Source organism: Homo sapiens, chromosome 10 (genome assembly GCF_000001405.40).
Source record: "Homo sapiens chromosome 10, GRCh38.p14 Primary Assembly".
Lineage (NCBI taxonomy): Eukaryota > Metazoa > Chordata > Mammalia > Primates > Hominidae > Homo > Homo sapiens.
In genome coordinates this window covers 45,724,099-45,744,987 of record NC_000010.11, presented here as the reverse complement: position 1 = coordinate 45,744,987, position 20,889 = coordinate 45,724,099, and the positions used below count along the sequence as shown (strand labels likewise).

The 20,889-nt window shown below is 43.9% G+C and overlaps 1 protein-coding gene and 1 long non-coding RNA gene across 53 annotated transcripts in view, besides 4 other annotated features; one reads left to right on the top strand and one right to left on the bottom strand.

Moving 5' to 3' along the window:
- The window catches only part of WASHC2C (WASH complex subunit 2C), a 65,922-nt gene extending 47,977 nt beyond the window's left edge, over positions 1 to 17,945 (bottom strand). For 33 of the 52 annotated variants that reach the window (NM_001330074.2, NM_001367397.1, NM_015262.3 and 30 more), the window contains exons 1-7: positions 17,668 to 17,722; positions 17,449 to 17,571; positions 15,962 to 16,126; positions 6,943 to 7,005; positions 4,742 to 4,915; positions 1,505 to 1,598; positions 106 to 167 (exon numbers count right to left, since the gene is read on the bottom strand). In NM_001330074.2, the coding sequence (NP_001317003.1) occupies positions 106 to 167; positions 1,505 to 1,598; positions 4,742 to 4,915; positions 6,943 to 7,005; positions 15,962 to 16,126; positions 17,449 to 17,571; positions 17,668 to 17,670 (684 nt within the window). In that variant the 5' untranslated portion in view covers positions 17,671 to 17,722. Of the gene's footprint in view, positions 1 to 105; positions 168 to 1,504; positions 1,599 to 2,914; positions 3,012 to 3,051; positions 3,166 to 4,741; positions 4,916 to 6,942; positions 7,006 to 12,099; positions 12,153 to 15,961; positions 16,127 to 17,448; positions 17,572 to 17,667; positions 17,723 to 17,819 lie in introns of those variants that run through there. The other 19 variants (XM_011539570.4, XM_047424944.1, XM_047424947.1 and 16 more) reach the window with 10 other exon arrangements.
- Positions 3,553 to 3,847: an enhancer, noted in NCBI's record as "tiled region #4830; HepG2 Activating non-DNase unmatched - State 15:Elon, and K562 Activating DNase matched - State 6:EnhF". NCBI's record gives its function as "activates a minimal TATA promoter and a strong SV40 promoter by Sharpr-MPRA in HepG2 and K562 cells {active_cell/tissue: HepG2 | K562}" and the evidence as "EXISTENCE:reporter gene assay evidence [ECO:0000049][PMID:27701403]".
- Positions 17,006 to 17,750: an enhancer, noted in NCBI's record as "H3K27ac hESC enhancer chr10:46222686-46223430 (GRCh37/hg19 assembly coordinates)". NCBI's record gives its function as "activates a minimal SCP1, AML or CMV promoter by ChIP-STARR-seq in primed H9 embryonic stem cells {active_cell/tissue: H9 hESC(primed)}" and the evidence as "EXISTENCE:reporter gene assay evidence [ECO:0000049][PMID:30033119]".
- Positions 17,751 to 18,496: an enhancer, noted in NCBI's record as "H3K27ac hESC enhancer chr10:46221940-46222685 (GRCh37/hg19 assembly coordinates)". NCBI's record gives its function as "activates a minimal SCP1, AML or CMV promoter by ChIP-STARR-seq in primed H9 embryonic stem cells {active_cell/tissue: H9 hESC(primed)}" and the evidence as "EXISTENCE:reporter gene assay evidence [ECO:0000049][PMID:30033119]".
- Positions 17,806 to 20,236, top strand: LOC107984227 (RNA guanine-N7 methyltransferase activating subunit-like). Its single transcript, NR_199876.1, has one exon. It is a non-coding gene; the product is annotated as an RNA guanine-N7 methyltransferase activating subunit-like (long non-coding RNA).
- Positions 17,982 to 18,031: a silencer, noted in NCBI's record as "silent region_2348". NCBI's record gives its function as "represses an Ori minimal core promoter by ATAC-STARR-seq in GM12878 lymphoblastoid cells {active_cell/tissue: GM12878}" and the evidence as "EXISTENCE:reporter gene assay evidence [ECO:0000049][PMID:35858748]".
- Positions 20,237 to 20,889: the final 653 nt, after the last annotated feature.

Here is a 20,889-nt window from a genome sequence, read left to right as displayed (position 1 = left end):
AAGCAGATTACGAATTCACAGTTATGCTATTTACTTAGCCTGCTAGGCCCATCTTAAATTAAGCTTGCTGCCCACCGTGACCTGGTCATACCAAACAGCCCTTACCTCCTCTTCTTTCTCTTCCTCAGTGTCCACAATACTGCCACGATCACTGCCTACAGAGCCTTCTGTTGAGAAGAGAGATAAGGGTCACCACACCAATATTCACAAGAAAATGTCCTTAGCTCAAAATCACAAACCACCATACAACAGCATCACAGAGATCTTGATAAAACCATCTATACCCACTTACTGGAATTGAAAGTGTCATTATGGTGAGGAATTACATATTTATGTAGTCTTGAAGTATCTCTCCCCCCAAAAATTATTCATTACAAATAAAAAAAAAACTTGCTTGTACTCTTTAAAGATGTCAGGGTCATAAAAAGCAAAGAAAGGCTGAGAAATGGCATCAGATTAAAAGATAACTGAAGATTTGACAACCAAATGTGGTGGCTGGTCCTGGATTGAGTCCCGGACCACAGAACAAAAGAGAGAGACTGTAAAGGGTGTCACTGGGACAAACGGCAAAATGTGAACATAGCAGCAGATTGGATAATACCCTTATGTCCAGGAAAATATCCTGGCTTTGTAATTCTACTGTGATTATACAAGAGATGTCCTTGTTCTTAGAAAACACACACAGAGGATCACCTGAGGTCAGGCGTTCGAGACCAACCTGCCCAACATGGTAAAACCCCATCTCTACTAAAAATACAAAAATTAGCCAGGTGTGGTGGTGGGCACCTGTAATCCCAGCTACTCAGGAGGCTGAGGTAGGAGAATTGCTTGAACCCAGGAGGTGGAGGTTGCAGTGAGCCAAGATCGCACCATTGCATTCCAGCCTGGGTGACCAGAGAGAAACTCCGGCTCAAAAAAGAAAGAAAGAAAGAAAGAAAAAGAGCCGGGCACGGTGGCTCATGCTTGTAATCCCAGCACTTTGGGAGGCCGAGGCGGGCAGATCATGAGGTCAGGAATTCGAGACCAGCCTGGACAATATGGTGAAACCCCATCTCTACTAAAAATACAAAAATTGGCCAGGTGTGGTGGTGCACGCCTGTGGTCCCAGCTACTCAGGAGGCTGAGGCAGAAAAATCGCTTAAATCCGGGAGGCGGAGGTTGCAGTGAGCTGAGATCGCACCACTGCACTCCAGCCTGGGCCACAGAGCGAGACTCTGTCTCAAAAAAAGAAAAAGACAAAGAAAAGAAAAAAAGAAAACACACAGAGAAACATTTAGAAGTAACAGGGCATGAGCATGATGTCTCCCAAATAGGCTCAAGACAAAATATTACGTATATGTAGAGAACAATCTAACAAATGTGGTGAAATGTTAACTGGTAAACCCAGGTGAAGGGTATATGAGAGTTCTTTGAACTATTCTTGAAACTTTAATGTAAAATTTGAAATTATTTTAAAATAAAAAAGAAATGTTAAGGAATAAAATTATTTGGTGAAGAAAAGTACCTTCACTGGACAGCTCTCCAAGACCTACATCTTCTTGTTCCATGAACAGCTTTGACCCAATGAGATATGGTAAAGGACGATCAATGTATAGATCCTGTACATGATGAAAGGAATAGGCTGTCAAACATTTCAGTTGAAAACAAACTTACATGTGCCACCTGATACCCTGTTCCATCTGACTATCCCAAACAAGCTACATAACGAAGGTGGAGAATAAGAAACACAGCAGGACTAAAAGTTAAAAAAAAAATTCTTTTTTTCACTGATTTTTTTAAAAGTCAAATCCTAGGTAAAGATGTCAAGGTAAGGCCGGGCACCATGGCTCACGCCTGTAATCCTAGCACTTTGGGAAGCCAAGGCGGGTGGATCACTTGAGGTCAGGAGTTTGAGACCAGCCTGACCAACGTGGTGAAACCCCGTCTCTACTAAAAATCCAAAAAAATTAGCGGGACATGGTGGCGGGTAACTGTCATCCTAGCTACTCGGGAGGCTGAGGCAGGAGAATCACTTGAACCCAGGAAACAGTGTTGCAGTGAGCTGAGATTGCACTACTGCACTCTAGCCTGGGCAATAAGAGCAAAACTCCATCTCAAAAAAAAAAAAAAAGAAAAAAGATGCCAAAGTAAAGCTGTATCACACAGAATCTCCCTCCCCAAGGGCCTAATTAACAAAATTTAACAAAAATGGCAAAAGCCTACCAAAAGTCTATCAGCAGCAAGCAAACAGGGAAAAGGGTACAACCTCCTAGTATAAGGTCCAAGAAGAGGAGGACCAAGGAAAGAAACTGAACATTCTGGTGAGCTGTCCCCTAAAAAGCAGTACTAATGAGACATAATATATCTATATATTTTAATATAAAAATAGATTAGGCCGGGCACAGTGGCTCATGCCTGTAATCCCAGCACTTTGGGAGGCTGAGGCAGATGGATCACTTGAGGTCAGGAGTTTGAGACCAGCCTGGCCAACGTGGTGAAACCCAATATCTACCGAAAATACTAAAAATTAGCTGGGTGTGGTGGCGCACACCTATAATCCCATTTACTCAGGAGACTAAGACAGGAGAATCTCTTGAACCCAGGAGGTGGAGGTTGCAGTGAGCCAACATCACATCACTCCACTCCAGCCTGGGCAACAAGAGCGAAACTCCGACTCAAAATAAATAAATAAATAAATAAAAAAGATTATAACTCAATAAACAGAAGAACAATACCCCCTAGTGGTTCCACACTGTTGAATTTAGAAAAGTGAAGTTGGTAAAATAAGACCAGATGAGAAAACAGAGTGAGGGCAGGAGACTGTGGCCCCAACAGCACATGCTGGAGATCTGCCCATGTCAGCCGTCTACTCCTGTCAGTCCCACACCACACACACATTAAAAATTTAGGGTTGGTCGGTTGCAGTAGCTCCCACCTGTAATCCCAGTACTTTTGGGAGGCCGAGGCGGGCGGATCACTTGAGGTCAGGAGTTCAAGACCAGCCTGGTCACCATGGTGAAACCCCGTCTCTACTAAAAAATACAAAAATTAGCCAGGTGTCATGTTACATGCCTGTAATCCCAGCTACTTGGAAGGCTGAGGCAGGAGAATCGCTTGAACCCAGGAGACAGAAGCTGCAGTGAGCCGAGATTGCGCCACTCCAGCTTGGGCAACAAGAGTGAAACTCTGTCTCAAAAAAAAAAAAAAAAATAGGGTCAAGAAAGTGCTCCACCCTTGCACAGCCTCCTACCTCCACTGCTGAAGGAAATGCTGCCCTGTCCCCTGTGAGGCATTGCCCTTTGGCAATGATATCTCTTCCTTGTCAAAGGACTCTGGGGCAGGGGAGAATAATTCTGACGTTTCACACAACAACAGAAAGATTGGGAAGGTTAAAGTAAAGGTTCAACGACGTCACAGCAACCAATGGAGCATAAGGCAAAGACAGCGTTAATTTGGACTAATTCTCACTGACTCAGAAGACATCCCCAAATCCTCCTACAAAAGAAAAGTGTACCTCCACAACTTTCTCTGCAAGGGGAAAAAAAAAAGGGAGAAAGTGCTGTGTGTCTTGGAAGTATCAAGTGTGGTCCAGGCAATCCATTTCCCAGAGTCCACTGCTGACTTTTAAAGGCATACAGTGAAAATCCAAGCAGCAAGTGTACTGGTCAGTGCCAAATGATCTGCCTCAATTTGGTGTGACTCAGCAAAGCTCAAACTGGAAGAGAAATGTGCAGCTACAGAATGACTAGAAGAGTGGTTCAGGCTGGGTGGGGTGGCTCATGTCTGTAATCCCAGCACTTTGGGAGGCCAAGGCAGGCGGATCACCTGAGGTTGGGAGTTCGAGACCAGCCTGGCCAACATGGTGAAACCCTGTCTATACTAAAAATACAAAAATTAGCTGGGTGTGGTGGTGGGCGCCTGTAATCCCAGCTACTCGGGAGGCTGGGGCAGGAGAATCGCTTGAACCTGGGAGGCAGAGGTTGCAGTGAGCCAACATCGTGCCACGCACTCCAGCCTGGAGGACAGAGTGAAACTCCGTCTCAAAAAAAAAAAAGGGTTTGGTTCTGTGGCATGTTTTAATTCGGAAGGCCTTGTGTGTCACAAGGCCTCTTTCTATAAATCACTGTGGTAACTTTCTGTGTTCACTACCGAGAGACTCTGTGTCACCCCAATTGTCTCTTTGAACAATGTGGGAGAAAGTGTGTCAAGCAACCAACACTCACTAGGCTATGAGGGAGCCTGGACATGAATGCTCACAGCAGCTTCATTTGTATTTAATAATTGCCCAAACCGGAAACAACCCAAATGCCTTTCAGTTCTTCTGCAGTCTTCCTTAGCCCAAGCTACATAATTTCAGGTTCCCAACACTCTCTGTCTCTTTTGAGCCTCCCCACCCTTCAAACCCCAATTCAAATATCATCTTTGCCCCAAAATTCCAGCTGGAAATCAATTCTCTCTCAGGGCATTTACAATGGTTATTCGTATGTATGTCTCCTCTCTCCCACCAGACTGCAACACACACCTCGAGAGTAGAGGCCATGCTCTGCATCTTTGCACCCCAACTTGACATGTTGCCTTGCACCTCACAAGTACTCCATCAGTGCTCAGGTAAAGCGAGTCTTTCTGGTGGAGTCAATGTGAGACTACTAAGTGACATACTCACTTCCCAGAGGTTAAGTCCATGACTTACTAATCGTGTGCCCAATTAAAGTAGCCCAAACATAATAGTTGTGCAATAAATATTTAAGTTGAATGTCTTCACCTTTGGTTCAAGGATCAGTTCCACCCGCCCATTAGCATCATCTTCCTCGGAGTCTGAGTTTCCTGCTTTGATATCAAGTTGCTCAAAGGCACTGTCCAATACTTGTAAGCCATAGTTCACAGCCTCCTGGACTTTAGGAATGAGATCTACTTCTTTCTGCTCTCGTGTCTTCTCCTACAAAATAAATACCATGCAGTATGGGTCTCCAATATACTGATACTGCCCCAAAAGAATACTGTGAATGTTCTCTAAAGCCTAGCCTCAAGCTCCAAAAAAACTTATTAAAAATGTTAAAAAAGTCAAATTCTGCTGAATGCCTTGACACAGACTTTGGAGTAAGACTGCAAGTTTTAAATCCCAAGTTTGCCCCTTTCTGGACATGCATCAAACTACCTAAGGTTCCAGAGCTCAAGGGTCATCGTCTACAAAAGCAGAGGTACAACTAGTGTGTGGAGAAGTATCCCAACAATGAATGCATGCTGTTTCCCCACTGCTGGAGGGCCTAGACTCTCAGACTCACCATGACTATCCCACGAGCCCTGGTTATCCCTTGGGTAATTTTAGGTGTTAAGACTTAGAAGGAAGGTCACAGAGGTCTCATTTTTCAATTACAGTTTAAAGAGACAAAAAAAAAAAAAACTGGACAATTACAATTATTTTATAAATCTGTTCTACATCAAAAGGGGGTCATTTTCATCTCCGGTCTATTCTGTGTATACCCTACAACAATGCCCCATTCAAGAAAAAAGGTTTGTTCATATCACCAACAGGCTGAGAATCTCCCTCAGGTGTCTTCTTCCTGCAACAGCAGTTCTCAATGGCAGTCCCCACAGACACAAGTGTGCCATTGTGAGAAATACCGAAAAATATTTAGTGTCATTTCCCCCTCTACAAATATTCTAGAAGGAACCAAACCACACAGTGTTGTTCTGAGGGCCAAAGGCAAAAAAAAAAAAAAACCCTACGAGCATTTTAGTCTTTTATCTCAAGTACTGAAGTCTTTCTAACTGAACTTTTTTGTCTTGGTTGTGTATTTTTCTATTTGGATATGCTTGATTCTGAGTTAAATAGCTAATATTGTACTGAGTTTGTGAAAATGTGTATGAAATATATAGCAGTTTTTAAAAATAGTACACTAAATACCTATCACCTTCAAATTAAACCCTGAATTGGTATAACCAGATACTACTGCACTTAAATGGCTAGCAAATCCTTGAGTTCTATTAAAAATAAAATAACCTGCTGGGCACAGTAGCTCACACCTGTAATCCTAGCACTTTGGGAGGCCAAGGCTGGCGGATCATTTGAGGTCAGGAGTTTGAGACCAGCCTGGCCAACATGGCGAAACCCCGTCTCTACAATAAATACAAAAAAATTAGCCAGGCGTGGTGGCACACGCCTGTAGTCCCAGCTACTCGGGAAGCTGAGCCAGGAGAATCACTTGCACCCAGGAGGCAGAGGTTGCAGTGAGCTGATATCGTGCCACTGCACTCCAGCCTGGGCAACAGAGTGAGACTCCATCTCAAAATAAAAAAATTTTTTAAATAAAAAATAAAATAAAATAACTTTTTTAAAAAAATGCTGGCAACAGGCAGAACTATAGCTGGTTTTGAATACCCTTTTCCTAGTCTAACAGCTTCATCTGTTACAAGTAATAATTGCTGACAAAGGGCCAACCTTTACAGGTGATCCATATTTTCTGAATAAATGAGAACAAAATCAAAGCTACTCCAATAATAAACTTATTCACAGTCCATGTGCCTTCCTGAGTGGAAGAAAAAGAAATCTCTGCTGGAGTGCTAAGAAGTCAGTGTGACCCAGAACCTCTTAGCTATGTTTTGGGCTCTGGTGTGAGAAGATCTCAGGAAGAAGGCTGGTCCATCTGTAACTCAGGAAGCCACAGGAAAAAAATGACCTCTGTGACCCTCCAAATCTGTAATATGTACTATCTGGCCCTTTACAAAAGAAGTTTGCTGACTTCTACTCTATTCTTATATCAGAATTCAAGGATTTGATCTCTGTATTAGTTAATATACTACATTTCAGAAACAAAGGAAAGAATCCCCTCTTGGGCTGCTGTCAGGAGCAGTCCCTCCCTTTCCCAACCCCACCCACCATCCCCCAGTTCCCACATAACACATCGATCTCCACCACACTTTTCAAAGTCAGAAACTCAGCTAAGAGTGATTTTATACAAGTACCTGCTCTGTTTTTTCTGCCTCAGCCTTGAGTACTGGCTCCTCCACTTCTTCATCATATACACGCTAAATATGGAAGCAAACTCAATGTTAAAAGGTCAACACGTCATTGGAAATAAATCACAATATAAGAATTCACACAGTAACTAAGGACAAAGATGCGGAAGGAAATGGTTATTCAGCAAAGGGCTGAGACCACTACCAGGTGGGTGTCCGTAACAGTGGGTCATGGACTAACAGCAAAGAATAGTCCATTCACCAAAAAAAAAAAAAAAAAAAATTTAAATACAAATGACTAGGAAACATGATGAAACTTTAACCTCGTTGTAAACCAAGAGTTGCAAAAACAGTAAGATATCAGTTTTCACACCTTTTCATTTAACCTAATAATGTTGATGGGCAATGATACAGTATTCTGACCCCAGCTTATGGAGAATGTCAACTGATGTAATTTATCAACTAGGAAACTAGAACTTCAGGATTTTGAACAAGGAAAATGGTAAAGGCAAAACTTATTTTCATTCAGTTGCTTAAAATGGCTGATAAATTTTTATTATCCCATTTGTATGAAAGCAGAGAGAAAAATCTACCACTGACTTGCCAGAAAGCCTGGGCATTTGACTAACCCTGACAGCATGGGTAGGCAAGACTCTCTTTTCCAGAAAAGACCCACTGCTCTGCCAAATCACTGTGATTCTTGGTTTTTAAAATCATTTTTATGTTTTAAAAACTACCGAAGTACAACATGCTTGTTATAAAAAGTCAATATAGGCCAGGTGCGGTGGCTCACGCCTGTAAGGCCAGCACTCTCTGAGACCGAGGCAAGGGGATCACTTGAGCTCAGGAGTTCAAGATCAGCCTGGGCAACATAGTGAGACCTCATCTCTACAAAAAATACAAAAATTAGCCAGGTATGGTGGTGTGCACCTGTAATTCCAGCTACTTGTGGGGCTTAGTCAGGAGGAACTCTTGAGCTTGGGAGGTAAAGGCTGCAGTGAGCCCTGATTGCACCACTGCACTGCAGCTTGGGTGAAAAAGTGAGACTCTATCTCAAAAATAAAATGAAATGAAATTAAAATTTTTTACAAAGAAAGAAATAAGAAGTCAATATAAATGAACTGATGAAAATCTTCTGGCATTAGACAGTGGCCGTGATTATAAAACTTTGAGTACAGTAAAAACCACCAAATTGTATACTTTTTAAAGGACTGAATTTTATGGTATGTGAATTCTATCTCAATTTTTAAAATTTTAAGTCAATATAAAGGCACATGGAAAAGAGATGTATTTTAAAATAGTTCCCTCCCTATCCCCAACCTGATCCTTGGAATACCCAATTTAAGCCTGGTGTGTATGCTCATTTCCTGAGGCTCTGAACACAAATATAAGCTAACACGTGCATATATTTAGAGCTCTCCTACCCTTCCTGCTTATTTATTTATTTATTTAGAGACAGAGTCTAGCTCTGTCACCCAGGCTGGAGTGCAGTGGCAGGATCTTGGCTCACTGCAACCGCCACCTCCCAGGCTCAAATGATTCTCTTGCCTCAGCCTCCCAAGTAATTGGGATTACAGGCGTGCACCACCACACCCGGCTAATTTGTTTTTGCCCTTTTTTTTTTTTTTTTTTTTTTTTTTTTTTTTGAGATGGAGTCTCACTCTGTTGCCAAGGCTGGAGTGCAGTGGTGCGATCTCGGCTCACTGCAAGCTCTGCCTCCTGGGTTCACGCCATTCTCCTGCCTCAGCCTCCTGAGTAGCTGGGACTACAGGTGCCTGCCACCATGCCCAGCTAATTTTTTTTGTATTTTTAGTAGAGATGGGGTTTCACCATGTTAACCAGGATGGTCTCAATCTGACCTCATGATTCGCCCACCTCGGCCTCCCAAAGTGCTGGGATTACAGGTGTGAGCCACCATGCCCGGCCTGCATTTTTTTTTTTTTTAGTAGAGATGGGGTTTCACCACGTTGGCCAGACTGGTCTCAAACTCCTTGACCTCAAGTGATCCATCGGCCTTGGCCTCCCAAAGTGCTGGGATTACAGGTGTGAGCCATTGTGCCTGGCTGAAACTGATTATTTATTTATTATTTATTATTTATTTATATACCTAGAGAAGGATTTTACCTAGAGAGGGAATAAATAAATCTTAATAGTCATTCCCAGATTCTATGCACAAATGCGTAGAATTCCCTGTCACTAGCAGCATACTCAAGTGCCCCTTACCCAAACCTTTGCCAGCAATGGCTCCTGTCCACCCATCTTTAAGTATCTGCCAATCTGATCAAACAATGTTGCTTTTAAATGATCATATCCTCTGACCCAAAATTCTACTTCTTGAAATTTAGCTCCCATGAAAATTATCATAAACGCAAACATCAGAATGTTCATGGTATCATGATTTCCAGCAGAAAGTCACAAATACCAAATTTATAATTCTATGTAATTCCAATCAAACGCTAATAAAATATTCTGTGGCACAATATAGTAAGATAATCCTGCTGGGGACAGTGGCTCATGCCTGTAATCCCAGCACTTTGGGAGGCTCATACCTGTAATCCCAGCACTTTGGGATCACCTGCGGTCAGGAGTTTGAGACCAGCCTGGCCAACATGGTGAAACCATGGCAAAACCCCATCTTTACTAAAAATATAAAAATTAGCTTGATGTGGTGGCCGGTGCCTGTAATCCCAGCTACTCAGGAGGCTGAGGCAGGAGAATCGCTTAAACTTGGGAGGCAGAGGTTGCAGTGAGCCGAGATTGCACAATTGCACTCCAGTCTGAGCAACAAGACTGAAACTCTATTTCAAAAAAATAAATAAATAAGTAAAAGATAATCCTCAAATTCACACAGAAAAGTAAAAAGCCAAAGATTGATAACCATGACAATTCTGAATAAAAACAGATTATGGGGACTTGCCCTAATAAGACATTAGAAATCTGCAGTATTTAAGATTATGATACTGTCAAACAGCAGAGAAACAAAACAAACAGCAGAGGGCAGAAACAGACCCACAATTCCATGGAGGCCTGATTTTATTTTCACATAAACACACACAAACATTCATACATAATAGTCAATGAAGAAAAGAACAACTACACAATAAAGGTTATCTATAAGGGATAAAAATGAAATCCCTCTCTAGGTAAAAAGAATAAAAAGTTGGCCAGGCATGGTGGCGAACACCTGTGGTCCTAGCCAGCTATTCAGGAGGCTGAGATGGGAGGATGGCTTGAGCCCAGGAGTTTGAGGCTGCAGTGAGCTGTCTGCACCACTGAACTCCAGCCTGGGCAACAGAGGGAGATCCTGTCTCAAAAACAAAAAAAGAATAAAAAGGCAGAGATACCAAGGAATCCCCACCCAAAATGATTAGAGTTAAGGACGAATATGGTGGGTAGGCACCTTTGAAGCAAATGTGGCAAGATACAAAACCACTGATGCTAGGTGCTACATTTTCTTAGCACTTGTGGTTTCTCTCTGAACTTTTCTATTTATTTATGAAACATTTATGAAATTTATGAAACATTTCATAAATAACATTTAATATTAGAAGATTATTAAATAAATTATGATACGGTTTAAGAACAAAAAAATTAAATTCACAAAAGTCTCAAAGATGGGTTAAATAAGTTCACATTAAGAAAAAAAGTAGGCTGCAAATGAAAATACACACACACACACACACACACACACAGTCATCTAGAAAAGGTTAAAGTTAAAAAACAAGAACAGAAAAAAATACACTGAAAAGTTCAATGGTTGGTTAATTTGGGGTAGCTGATTTTTTGTAGGTTCAATTATTTATTTATTTATTTATTATTATTTTTTTGAGACGGAGTCTTGCTCTGTCACCCTGGCTGAAGTGCAGTGGCGGGATCTCGGCTCACTGCAAGCTCTGCCTCCCGGGTTCATGCCCTTCTCCTGCCTCAGGCTCCCGAGTAGCTGGGACTACAGGCGCCTGCCACCACGCCTGGCTAATTTTTTTGTATTTTTTAGTAAAGATGGAGCTTCACCGTGTTAGTCAGGATGGTCTCAATCTCCTGACCTCCTGATCCGCCCACCTCGGCCTCCCAAAGTGCTACAGGCGTGAGCCACCGCACCCGGCCTACTGTAGGTTCAATTCTTTTAAGCCTGATGTCTGCATGGGAAATGGACTTAGAATATATGTGCTAAACGTTGAGAGGCTCCCCTCAAGCTGAGGAAATTTCACATGATTTTTCTTTTTCTTACTTTTCCTAATTGCTCTATAAAGATCAGGGATTACTTTGGTAATTTTCAAAGTCAGGACTCCAAAAAGTTAAGTAAATCTCAAAAGTGAGACTTTAAGACCTGGCAGCTACCATGGTTACCCATCAGCAGCCTGCAGCTAGAAAGCCAAACATGACATCTAAGAAACCTAAACCCATGGGACCTAAAGCCCATGGGATCTTTTCAGGGTGAGCAGGACTATGCATCCTCAAGTACTTCATATCCAGCAGATAACCAATGCTAACTTCTTTCATCCTCACCTGCTAAACTCACAGCTTCATGTGTTTTGTGATCAATTTACAGTCAGATAGCTATACCCAGGACTGTTAAATATCTTTGGTATTGCTCCTCATCTGGGGAGACAGGGTAAAAGGGGAAAGAGGGGAACTGGGGAAAAAGGGACCAGGGCTGGAGAGTAACAGACTATACACAGCCCTGGTCCCCTTTCATTTATGCGTACTCTCATTCATTCAAATATTCACTGGATCCCTAAATATCAGGCTTGTGCTGGACCCCTCAAATATATTTGTTGTTAAAAATATGGGGCTTGATTTAGTGGGAGGGTCCAACTCATCAAATCCCATCAATAATTGTAAAATTACAATTGTAAGAAGTCTACTAAAGAATGTGATGCTTCAGCTGCTTTTATCCAGGGGGTGTGCCTAGTGCAGAGGGTCCAGGAGGAAGTAATATAATTGAGCAGAGACCTAGAAGACAGACAGATGTCAATCAAAGGGTAGAGGCATAGGAAGCAATGTAAGCAAAGGCCCCGTAGCAGCAGGGCATATGGCATCTCCAAGGAATGAGAAGGCTGGAGTGTCAAAAGCAAGGGGCATTATGTAAAATAAAGCAGGTCTAGGGGGAGAGGGAAAAACCTGTGCAGGAAATTATATGTTAATAAGGCTTTTGGGCTTTACCTCCTTCTCTCTAATTGCTGAGTACTTGACAGTTTCAGCAACTCCATCTGTTTCTTCAATAGAAAAGTAGAAAAGGAGGGAAAAATGACCAAAATTCAGCTTTTATAAATCAACAGGAAGATGATCTGGAAAATTAACCCATTTATGCCTAGTGTCCCATTATTGGAACACTAAGCTTGTCAGAATTATGTATATCCTACTGCTCAAGGTCATTGCCAAGGTCTGGCTTTTCACAAAAAAAATTCTAACCTTGGGCATAAACAGGTTAATTTGTTTCATTCTGGAATTTTTTTTTTAATTTTACAAAGCTAAGATTTTGAAACAATTGACTTTAAAAAGAAAAAATCCTCCCTCACCAGTTCATTTAACAAACTAAAGTCATTAACTATGGCACTTGCTATTTCAGGATCCAATTCCTAAATTAACAGATAATTAAGCCTTTAGAATTGTGTTGCCTTCTAATTAGACACTAGAACACTGGCCAATGTTAATTAGTATTTCTTCTCCCTCCAAGTCCCCTCTTGAGCCTTTACTAATGGTACTAATTTCTCTTGCCCTAAAAAGTCCTGACTGTTCTCGCCCTAGAAAGTACGGATTGTTTCACTAACTTTATAATATAGTTTGCAACTTTGTGGCTGCCCCTGAGGCTAATTAATAAAACCCAGAAACCTATCTGACTTTGAATGTTTCTGATAAATTACCATGAAACCAAATGGCACCATAATTCAAGCTGGAATTGTAACACCTAAGTACTGATGTCAGGGATTGAAAATAAAACATTAAAAAGCCAGATTGCCGGGTATGGTGGCTCACACCTGTAATCCCAGCACTTTGGGAGGCCAAGGCGGGTGGATCATGAGGTCAGGAGATCGAGACCATCCTGGCTAACACGGTGAAACCCCATCTCTACTAAAAATGCAAAAAAAATTAGCCAGGTGTGGTGGCGGGTGCCTGTCATCCCAGCTACTCAGGAGGCTGAGGCAGGAGAATGGCATGAACCCGGGAGGTAGAGCTTGCAGTGGGCTGAGATTGCACCACTGCACTCCAGCCTGGGCGACAGAGTGAGACTCCGTCTCAAAAAAAAAAAAAAAAAAAGCCAGATCACTTACAAATATATATCAGCAAGTATATTTTTTCAGAGTTTTATTATGCATTAGCTGTTTTCTCAGTATTATCATGCTTTGCCACAAATGAAAAAAACCTATAGCATGTGGCCTTATGGAAGGTCTGGGAAGTAATTAAGATTTGGCAGCGGCAACCAGCACATCCGGAGAAGAGTTCTGGCTGCAGACTGGAAGGCGAAGGGGCATCAAGACTTAACACTAAGGGCCGAGCGCAGTGGCTCGCGCCTGTAATCCTAGCACTTTGGGAGGCTGAAGTAGGATAACTGCTTGAACCCGGGAGGCGGAGGTTGCAATGGGCAGATCGCTTGAGGTCAGAAGTTCAAAAGCAGACTCACCAACATGGTGAAACCCCATCTCTACTAAAAATAGAAAAAAAATTAGCCAGGCCTGGTGGCGGGAGCCTGTAATCCCAACTACATGGGAGGTGTGGGCAGGAGAATTGCTTGAACACGGGAGGCGGATGTTGCAGTGAGCCGAGATGGTGTCACTGCACTCCAGCCTGGATGACAGAGCAAGACTCTGTCTCGGAAGAAAAAAAAAAAAGCTAAGGCTAAAGGGATGGAGAGATGGATGGAAAACAGGAAATCCCCAGTATTGGACAGAAATAAAGAACAATTACCAAAACACAATAAAACAAAACCAAAAAAACTCCACAAAAACTACAACATGGAAAACTCAGAATCTACGAAAACTTGGCTAGAAAAGAGCTGGAGAAAAGATAAGACCTAAGACTGTGATTGAGAAAAATTGTATGATGTTCCCCATTTCTTCCCACTGAAGTATTGATCTGGTACCAATCTAGTACCAATCTGGTACAGGCACACTGGGTACAAAGTAAACTTCCCTTGCCGGGCGCCGTGGCTCAGGCCTGTAATCCCAGCACTTTGGGAGGTCGAGGTGGGCGGATCACGAGGTCAGGAGATCGAGATCATCCTGGCTAACTCGGTGAAACCCCGTCTCTTCTAAAAATACAAAAAATTAGCCAGGCGTGGTGGCACGCGCCTGTAGTCCCAGCTACTTGGAAGGTTGAGGCAGGAGAATGGCGTGAACCCGGGAGGCGGAGCTTGCAGTGAGCGGAGATCGCACCACTGCACTCCAGCCTGGGTGACAGAGTGAGACTCCATCTCAAAAAAAAAAAGAAACTTCCCAAATCCTTTGGGACTCTGGTGCTGCAGCACTGACTGCAGAGAAGTGCTGACTACCTGATCCAGCAAGAAAAGTACAGAATGAAAAGAACAGGAGTGCTTAAAAGGACACCAAATTAATCTTGATGAAAACATTATGGGGCTGTGCACACCAGAGAAGTTGAGTCTAGAGTCCCTGACTTTTCCAGTGAGATAGTCAGGACCAAGCATGGACATTCTGTGTAAACAATCAGAAAACTACTGATTTTACTTGAATACTTTTTTTTTTTTTTGAGACGGAGTTTCGCTCTTATTGCCCAGGCTGGAGTACAATGGCAGGATCTCGGCTCACCGCAACCTCCGCCTCCCAGGTTCAAGCGATTCTCCTGCCTCAGCCTTCCCAAGTAGCTGGGATTACAGGCATGCGCCACCATGCCCGGCTAATTTTGTATTTTTTTAGTAGAGACGGGGTTTCTCCATGTTGGTCAGGCTGGTCTCGAACTCCCAACCTCAGGTGATCCACCCGTCTTGGCCTCCCAAAGTGCTGGGATTACAGGCATGAGCCACCACGCCTGGCCGAATACTTGTTATTTTTCAAACTCATAAGTACTCCTTTGCTGTTAAAGGAAATAACTGGCAAAGAGATCTCTAACACCTTTATTAATGTCTTTATTTTATATATAGCTCTCCAAAAAAAGACAGGAAGTGGCATTTAACTTGAGCTATTAAAAAATGCACAAACATGCTGCACAAGTTGACTACATGGCATTCTCTTAACTATTCTAAATCTTGGGCTTTTTTAATAATTTTGTGATTCTGAAAATTTTATTACTTTATATCTAACAATCTCGGGAGATCGCTTACTTTAATAATCCTTTTTCCACAAATGAATGCTGATATTCAGAAAGTTGGGACACCCTATGAGAAACACAGGTCTGTTACCTAAGCTTCCTCTCCATCCTCATCTCTTAAGTCTCCACTCTGCTCCAGCCATACTTACTTCCTTTGTATGCTGGAATTATACTATTTGCCAAGGGAGAGGCTCTATCTAATTTACCTATGTATTCCTACCACCTAGAAGAAACAGTAAATAGACAGAAATCACACATAGATTTAAGCTCAGTAATCTGTTTACAGTTGATTCCATATTGTAAGTTCGGCCATCATAAACTTTAGTTGAGAATATTGCAAGCAGACATATATATCCCCTGAATATAATTTATCAGAACAGAATGACCCCAATCAACAACTGAAACCATATGCTGGTGTCCAGAGGGTCTAACCAGGTAAACAGCTGTCCTTACAGATCACGCCACAACAAAGGCAGTGTGAGTGCCACACAATTCAGCACAATTGCTGACTACTCTCAAAACGACAAAAGATGGAAGCACTGAAGTATAAGAAAATTTTATCATTAGACTTTTTTAGAGGCTTGGAAAAAAGGACTTAAAACTTTACAAATAAAAAAGAGGCGTTAATCCCAGAGAAAAAAGCTACAATTACCAAGAACCACACTTCCACCAAAATTTAGGAGGGAACCTAACAGTAAGTTATTTAAAATTACAATATCTCCTACTCCCAAAAAAGGAATTATAATATAACTAAATAACTCACATTCTCTATGAACTGGGTATTAGAGAGCATAAGGAAGTCATTGAAGACATTATGCAGGCGACAATCTGTGGCTTTGGTTTCCCGGATTAGTCCGTCCACTTGTTTCTTGATTTCATGGGTCCTAGAGATAGTTTGCTGTGAGAATTCCTGTAGAAACTGTAGTAGCTATTTTAAAAAATAAACATACAGTAGTATCAATGTTACATGTAACTATTCTGCATGTCACATCAAAAAAGAACCCATTTCCTTTCACCTTTGAGTGTTAGAATGTGAAAGAAATGCTTTTTTTTTTTTTTGAGAGAGAGTTTCACTCTGTTGCCTGGGCTGGAGTACAGTGGCGCCATCTCGGCTCACTGCACCTCCCGCGTTCAAGCGATTCTCCTGCCTCAGCCTCCCGAGTAGCTGGAATTACAGGTGCCCGCCACAACGCCCAACTAATTTTGTGTATTTTTAGTAGAGACGGGGTTTCACCATGTTGGCCAGGCTGGTCTCGAACTCCTGACCTCGTGATTCGCCCACCTCGGCCTCCCAAAGTGCTAGGATTACAGGTGTGAGCCACTGTGCCCGGCCGGAATGCTGGTTTGACAAGTACTAAAACCAAGTGACATTGGAAAACACTAAGAAAGCTCATCAAAAGAGTGGCAGTGAGCTAATGGACACCTATCTCGTTTCTGGAAAAATTTAAAATCCCTTTTTGGCACTGGGTATGGTGGCTCACGCTTGTAATCCAACACTTTGGGAGGCTGAGGCAGGGTTATCGCTAGAGTCCAGGAGTTGCAGACCAGTCTGGGCAACATAGCAAGACCCCCATCTCTACTAAAATTAAATAAATAAACAAATCAGACAGGTGTGGTGGACGCCTATAGTCCCAGCTACTCAGGACGCTGAGGTGAGAGGATCACCTGAACCCCAGAGGATTCAGTGAGCCAAGATCGAGCCACTTGCACTCCAGCCTGGGCGACAGGGCAAAACCCTGTCTCCTTTTAAAAGTCCTCTTTGGTTGTCAATCTACAGAGATCACAGACCAAGGGTTAGCTAATCAACCACCACTCTTATTCAAAAATCCTATTCATTTGGGACTCGAACAGTTCTGAGCTTTTTGGGCCCCCGATTTGAAGAATCCCATTAAAGGATATCCACATACTGGCTTGTTTCCCACCCCATTTAGTCCAGGTCCCAACAGGAATCGCCTCCCTAGTGCCCGAGCAATCCCTCAGTGTGGCGGAAACGGATCTCCCCTCCGGATGGAGCTGAGCCAGAAACCCCATGAAGGGAACGTCGCGTCTGGGCCACGGTCAGGGTCTGCCCCTCTCCCTGGTGGCCGGGGACTGCCAGGGTGGCATTCTCGGGGGCTAAACGGGGCGTGTGTTCCTAAGAGGGCAGGCAACGGGACGGGCCAGGTGCAGGGGCAGTCGCGGTCCGGCCCTCCTGCGCGCAAGCCAAGCGTCACCCCTGCCGCTCTCGCGTCCCCGGGGCCCGCCTCTCACGCCCGCGTCGGCCGCCAGCGACCAGCTCTGGCTGCTCCTGCGGATCTCCTCCACCGACCACGGCCGCTCCCACACGGGCTCCGACGCCGGCACCAGCTCCTGGTCGGGGGTCGTCCGGTTCATCTGCAGCGAAAAAAACGAGAAGAGAGGCTGAGCCTGAGGGCGGCAGGGACGGCGGCCCCAGCCCAGGCCGGCCCCTCTCCGGCCCGCCGCCCTCACCATCCCAGCCGCCCGGCTCGGTGGGCTCCGAGGCTGCCAGCACAGGCCGAGGACCGCAGAGCCCCGGAAGCCTAGCCCCAGCCAAGCTGCCCGGGGCGTGACCGGCCTCACGTGACCTGATGTCACGTGACAGAACCCGCACGTGATCCGACCTGCGATGCTGAGGGGAGGAAGCTGCGGAAGTGGACTGGGACTGGAGTTTGGGGTTCTACCCTAGGTTGGGGCGGAGGAAGCTGGAGGATAGGGGCTGACGCCAGGAACGCTGCAGAGGCGGGTTGGGCGGGGGGCGCTGCCGCCCAAGGCCCGAGGCAGCGGCGCGGGATCGGCCAAAGCACCGGCCGCCAGTTCGGCGGGTCTGGAGAGAGGGGACCTCAAGCAGCCAGTGGAGCAACCAGCCTGGGAGCCTTCGACGTAGGCGCTGTGGGCGAAGGAAAAGGCCTGGCCTGCTGCCTCTTCTCTTGCAGCAAAATCCGCTGCTGTGAAGGAGCTGGTAGGCGGACGCTCTGTAGATAAGAGAATCCCTGATCTGCCTGGGCATCATCTTGCTCTTTATGACCTGCTTGGCTGCCACTGTGTAGGGCCTGCTTAAAGTCCTTTGCACTCTCAGCATTCCCCTCAAGTTCAAGGACAAGCTTCTCATTATGGCAGGCATAAAACTCTTTATAATTCGTCCTCCACTCTCCCAGCTCAGGGCTCCAGCTGTTGTCTCACACTTCCTTGAAGTTCCCTCTGCTGAGTCGCCCTTGTGCCTGACCAACTTACTTACTAAAATAAAAATCCCAATTTCTTTCCAGTCATGTGTGCCCAAGGGCGAGTTATTTAACTTTTCTGAGCTTTCCTCAGTAAAACGAAGCTACATATCTTGCAAGGATGTGATATTAAAGTTATGATATTGTAAAACAGGTGCCACGGTGCTTGGCCTAGGGTGAGCCTTCAACCTAGAACATACCACTGTCCCCATGCACCTTGCTCACACACCCAATCCCAGACTTTTCTTTTGTAGTCACCTCAGTTATCACCTCATTAAATAACCTGATTACCCCAAGTACAGCTTAAGTGACTTAAGTTATTTTCTATGGCTAGCGGAAGGGTCTCCGCTACATTGGAGAGCTGGGGTGGTCTGGAGTTCCACGGTGTGGTGGGCCAGAGGCCACCTCTCCTGCGGTCTCTTAGTGTCTCGCTGGCGGGGTTCGGCCCGAGCTAGATAGACACAGCCCTTGGCGGATTTAAACAACCTAAACATTAAACAATACAGCTGCCTCAAATCTTTGGGAATTTCAGAATGACTGACACTGCCAAAGCTGTTCCAAATTTTGAAGAGATGTTTGCTAGTAGATTCACAGAAGATGACGAGGAGTATCAGGAATACTTGAAACGCCCTCCTGAGTCCTCTCCAATTGTTGAGGAATGGAATAGCAGAGCTGGTGGGAACCAAAGAAACAGAGACAATCGGTTGCAAGATAGCAGACAGTTCAGAGGCAGGGACGGCAGATGGGGGTGGCCAAGTGACAATCGATCCAATCAGTGGCGTGGACAATCCTGCGGTAACAATTACCCGCAACACAGACAAGAACCTTACTATCCCGACCAATATGGACATTAAGGTTACAACCAGCTGCCCCCTTACGATAGAAATGTTGGCAGCTTTTAGTAAAAGCATTTACTGTGTTACCACGACAAAAGTTTGGGTGTCTTCTGTCGGTCATAGTTGGTTTTTTTTGTTGTCGTTTGTTTGTTTGTTTGTTTGTTTTTGAGACGGAGTCTCTCTCTGTCGCCCAGGCTGGAGTGCAGTCTCGGCTCACTGCAAGGTCCGCCTCCCAGGTTCATGCCATTCTCCTGCCTCAGCCTCCCGAGTAGCTGTGACTACAAGAGCCCGCCACCACGCCTGGCTAATTTTTTGTATTTTTAATAGAGACAGGGTTTCACTGTGTTAGCCAGGATGGTCTCGATCTCCTGACCTCGTGATCCGCCCGCCTCAGCCTCCCAAAGTGCTGGGATTACAGGCGTGAGCCACTGCGCCCGGCTCGGTCATAGTTTTACATCTGATTTTACAGAATGGATTATTGATTTTTTGGAAGTTGAGACTTTAAAAAAAAATACATCTTACTTGCGAGATGCGATGGTTGCTGGGAATACCTGAAATTGTGGATTATATTGCTTGACTTCTACCTCAGAGTCTTCGTTTCATGACTTAATAGTGTTTTGAGTTTGGTATATTTTTCTTATTTGACCTCCAGGAATTCTTCGTTTTACACAGATATAAAAATTTTAAAATAGAAAATGCTTGCTTTTACTTTGTAAGGTAAGAGAGTATCCACATGCTTAGATGTGCTCGTTTCTAAAATTCTAGAGGTTAATACAATCAGCTCATGAATGCACAGCTATGCTTCTTGTGATAGATTGTACATAACATCAGCAGTTGAAAGGTAAAACAATTGCTTTTTTTTTTTTTTTGCTTTTGTTACGTGACTATGGTACTTTGTGATTCCTTACTCTATAATGAGTCGCTCCACATTTATTTGGGTCTCTTTTTAGAGGGAAATCAGTAATAAAGCTGTAAAATAAATAAGGAAAAAAGTTGTTTTTGATGTATTTATCCTAAGGTATTACATTGTATTGTAATCATTTAAATATCAGTCTCTCCTTTAATAATAGCTAACATTTATCAAGTGTTCAGTATTTACCACTTTATACATTGTTCATTTAATTCACACAATGACTATGAGGGAGGAAATATTATTTCCAAATTATAGTTGAGGAAACTGAGGTACAGAAAGGAGAAGTAACTTACTTATGATTAGGTAACCAGGAAAGAGGCAGACCCGAGAACACACACTGTGAGCCAATATGTTACAGTAACCTATAACAGTGTTAACACTAAGGCTGGGCTGGCGTGGTGGCTCACACCTGTAATCCCAGCACTGTGGGAGGCCAAGGCGGTTCGAGACCAGCCTGGGAAACATGGTGAAACCCCATATCTACAAAAAAAAAAAATTAGCTGGACATGGCGGCATAGATCTGTAGTTCGAGCTACTCAGGAGAATGAGGTGGAATGATCGCTTGAGCCCCTGAGACCAAGGTTGCAGTCAGCCGAGATTGCACCACTCCACTCCAGCCTGGAAGAAGACTAAGACTGCTGTCTGCAAAAACAGTCTTAGAGTCTTAAGGGGACTTCATTTTTAAGTCACCATCTACCAACCTCTTCCACTTCCCCCACATTCA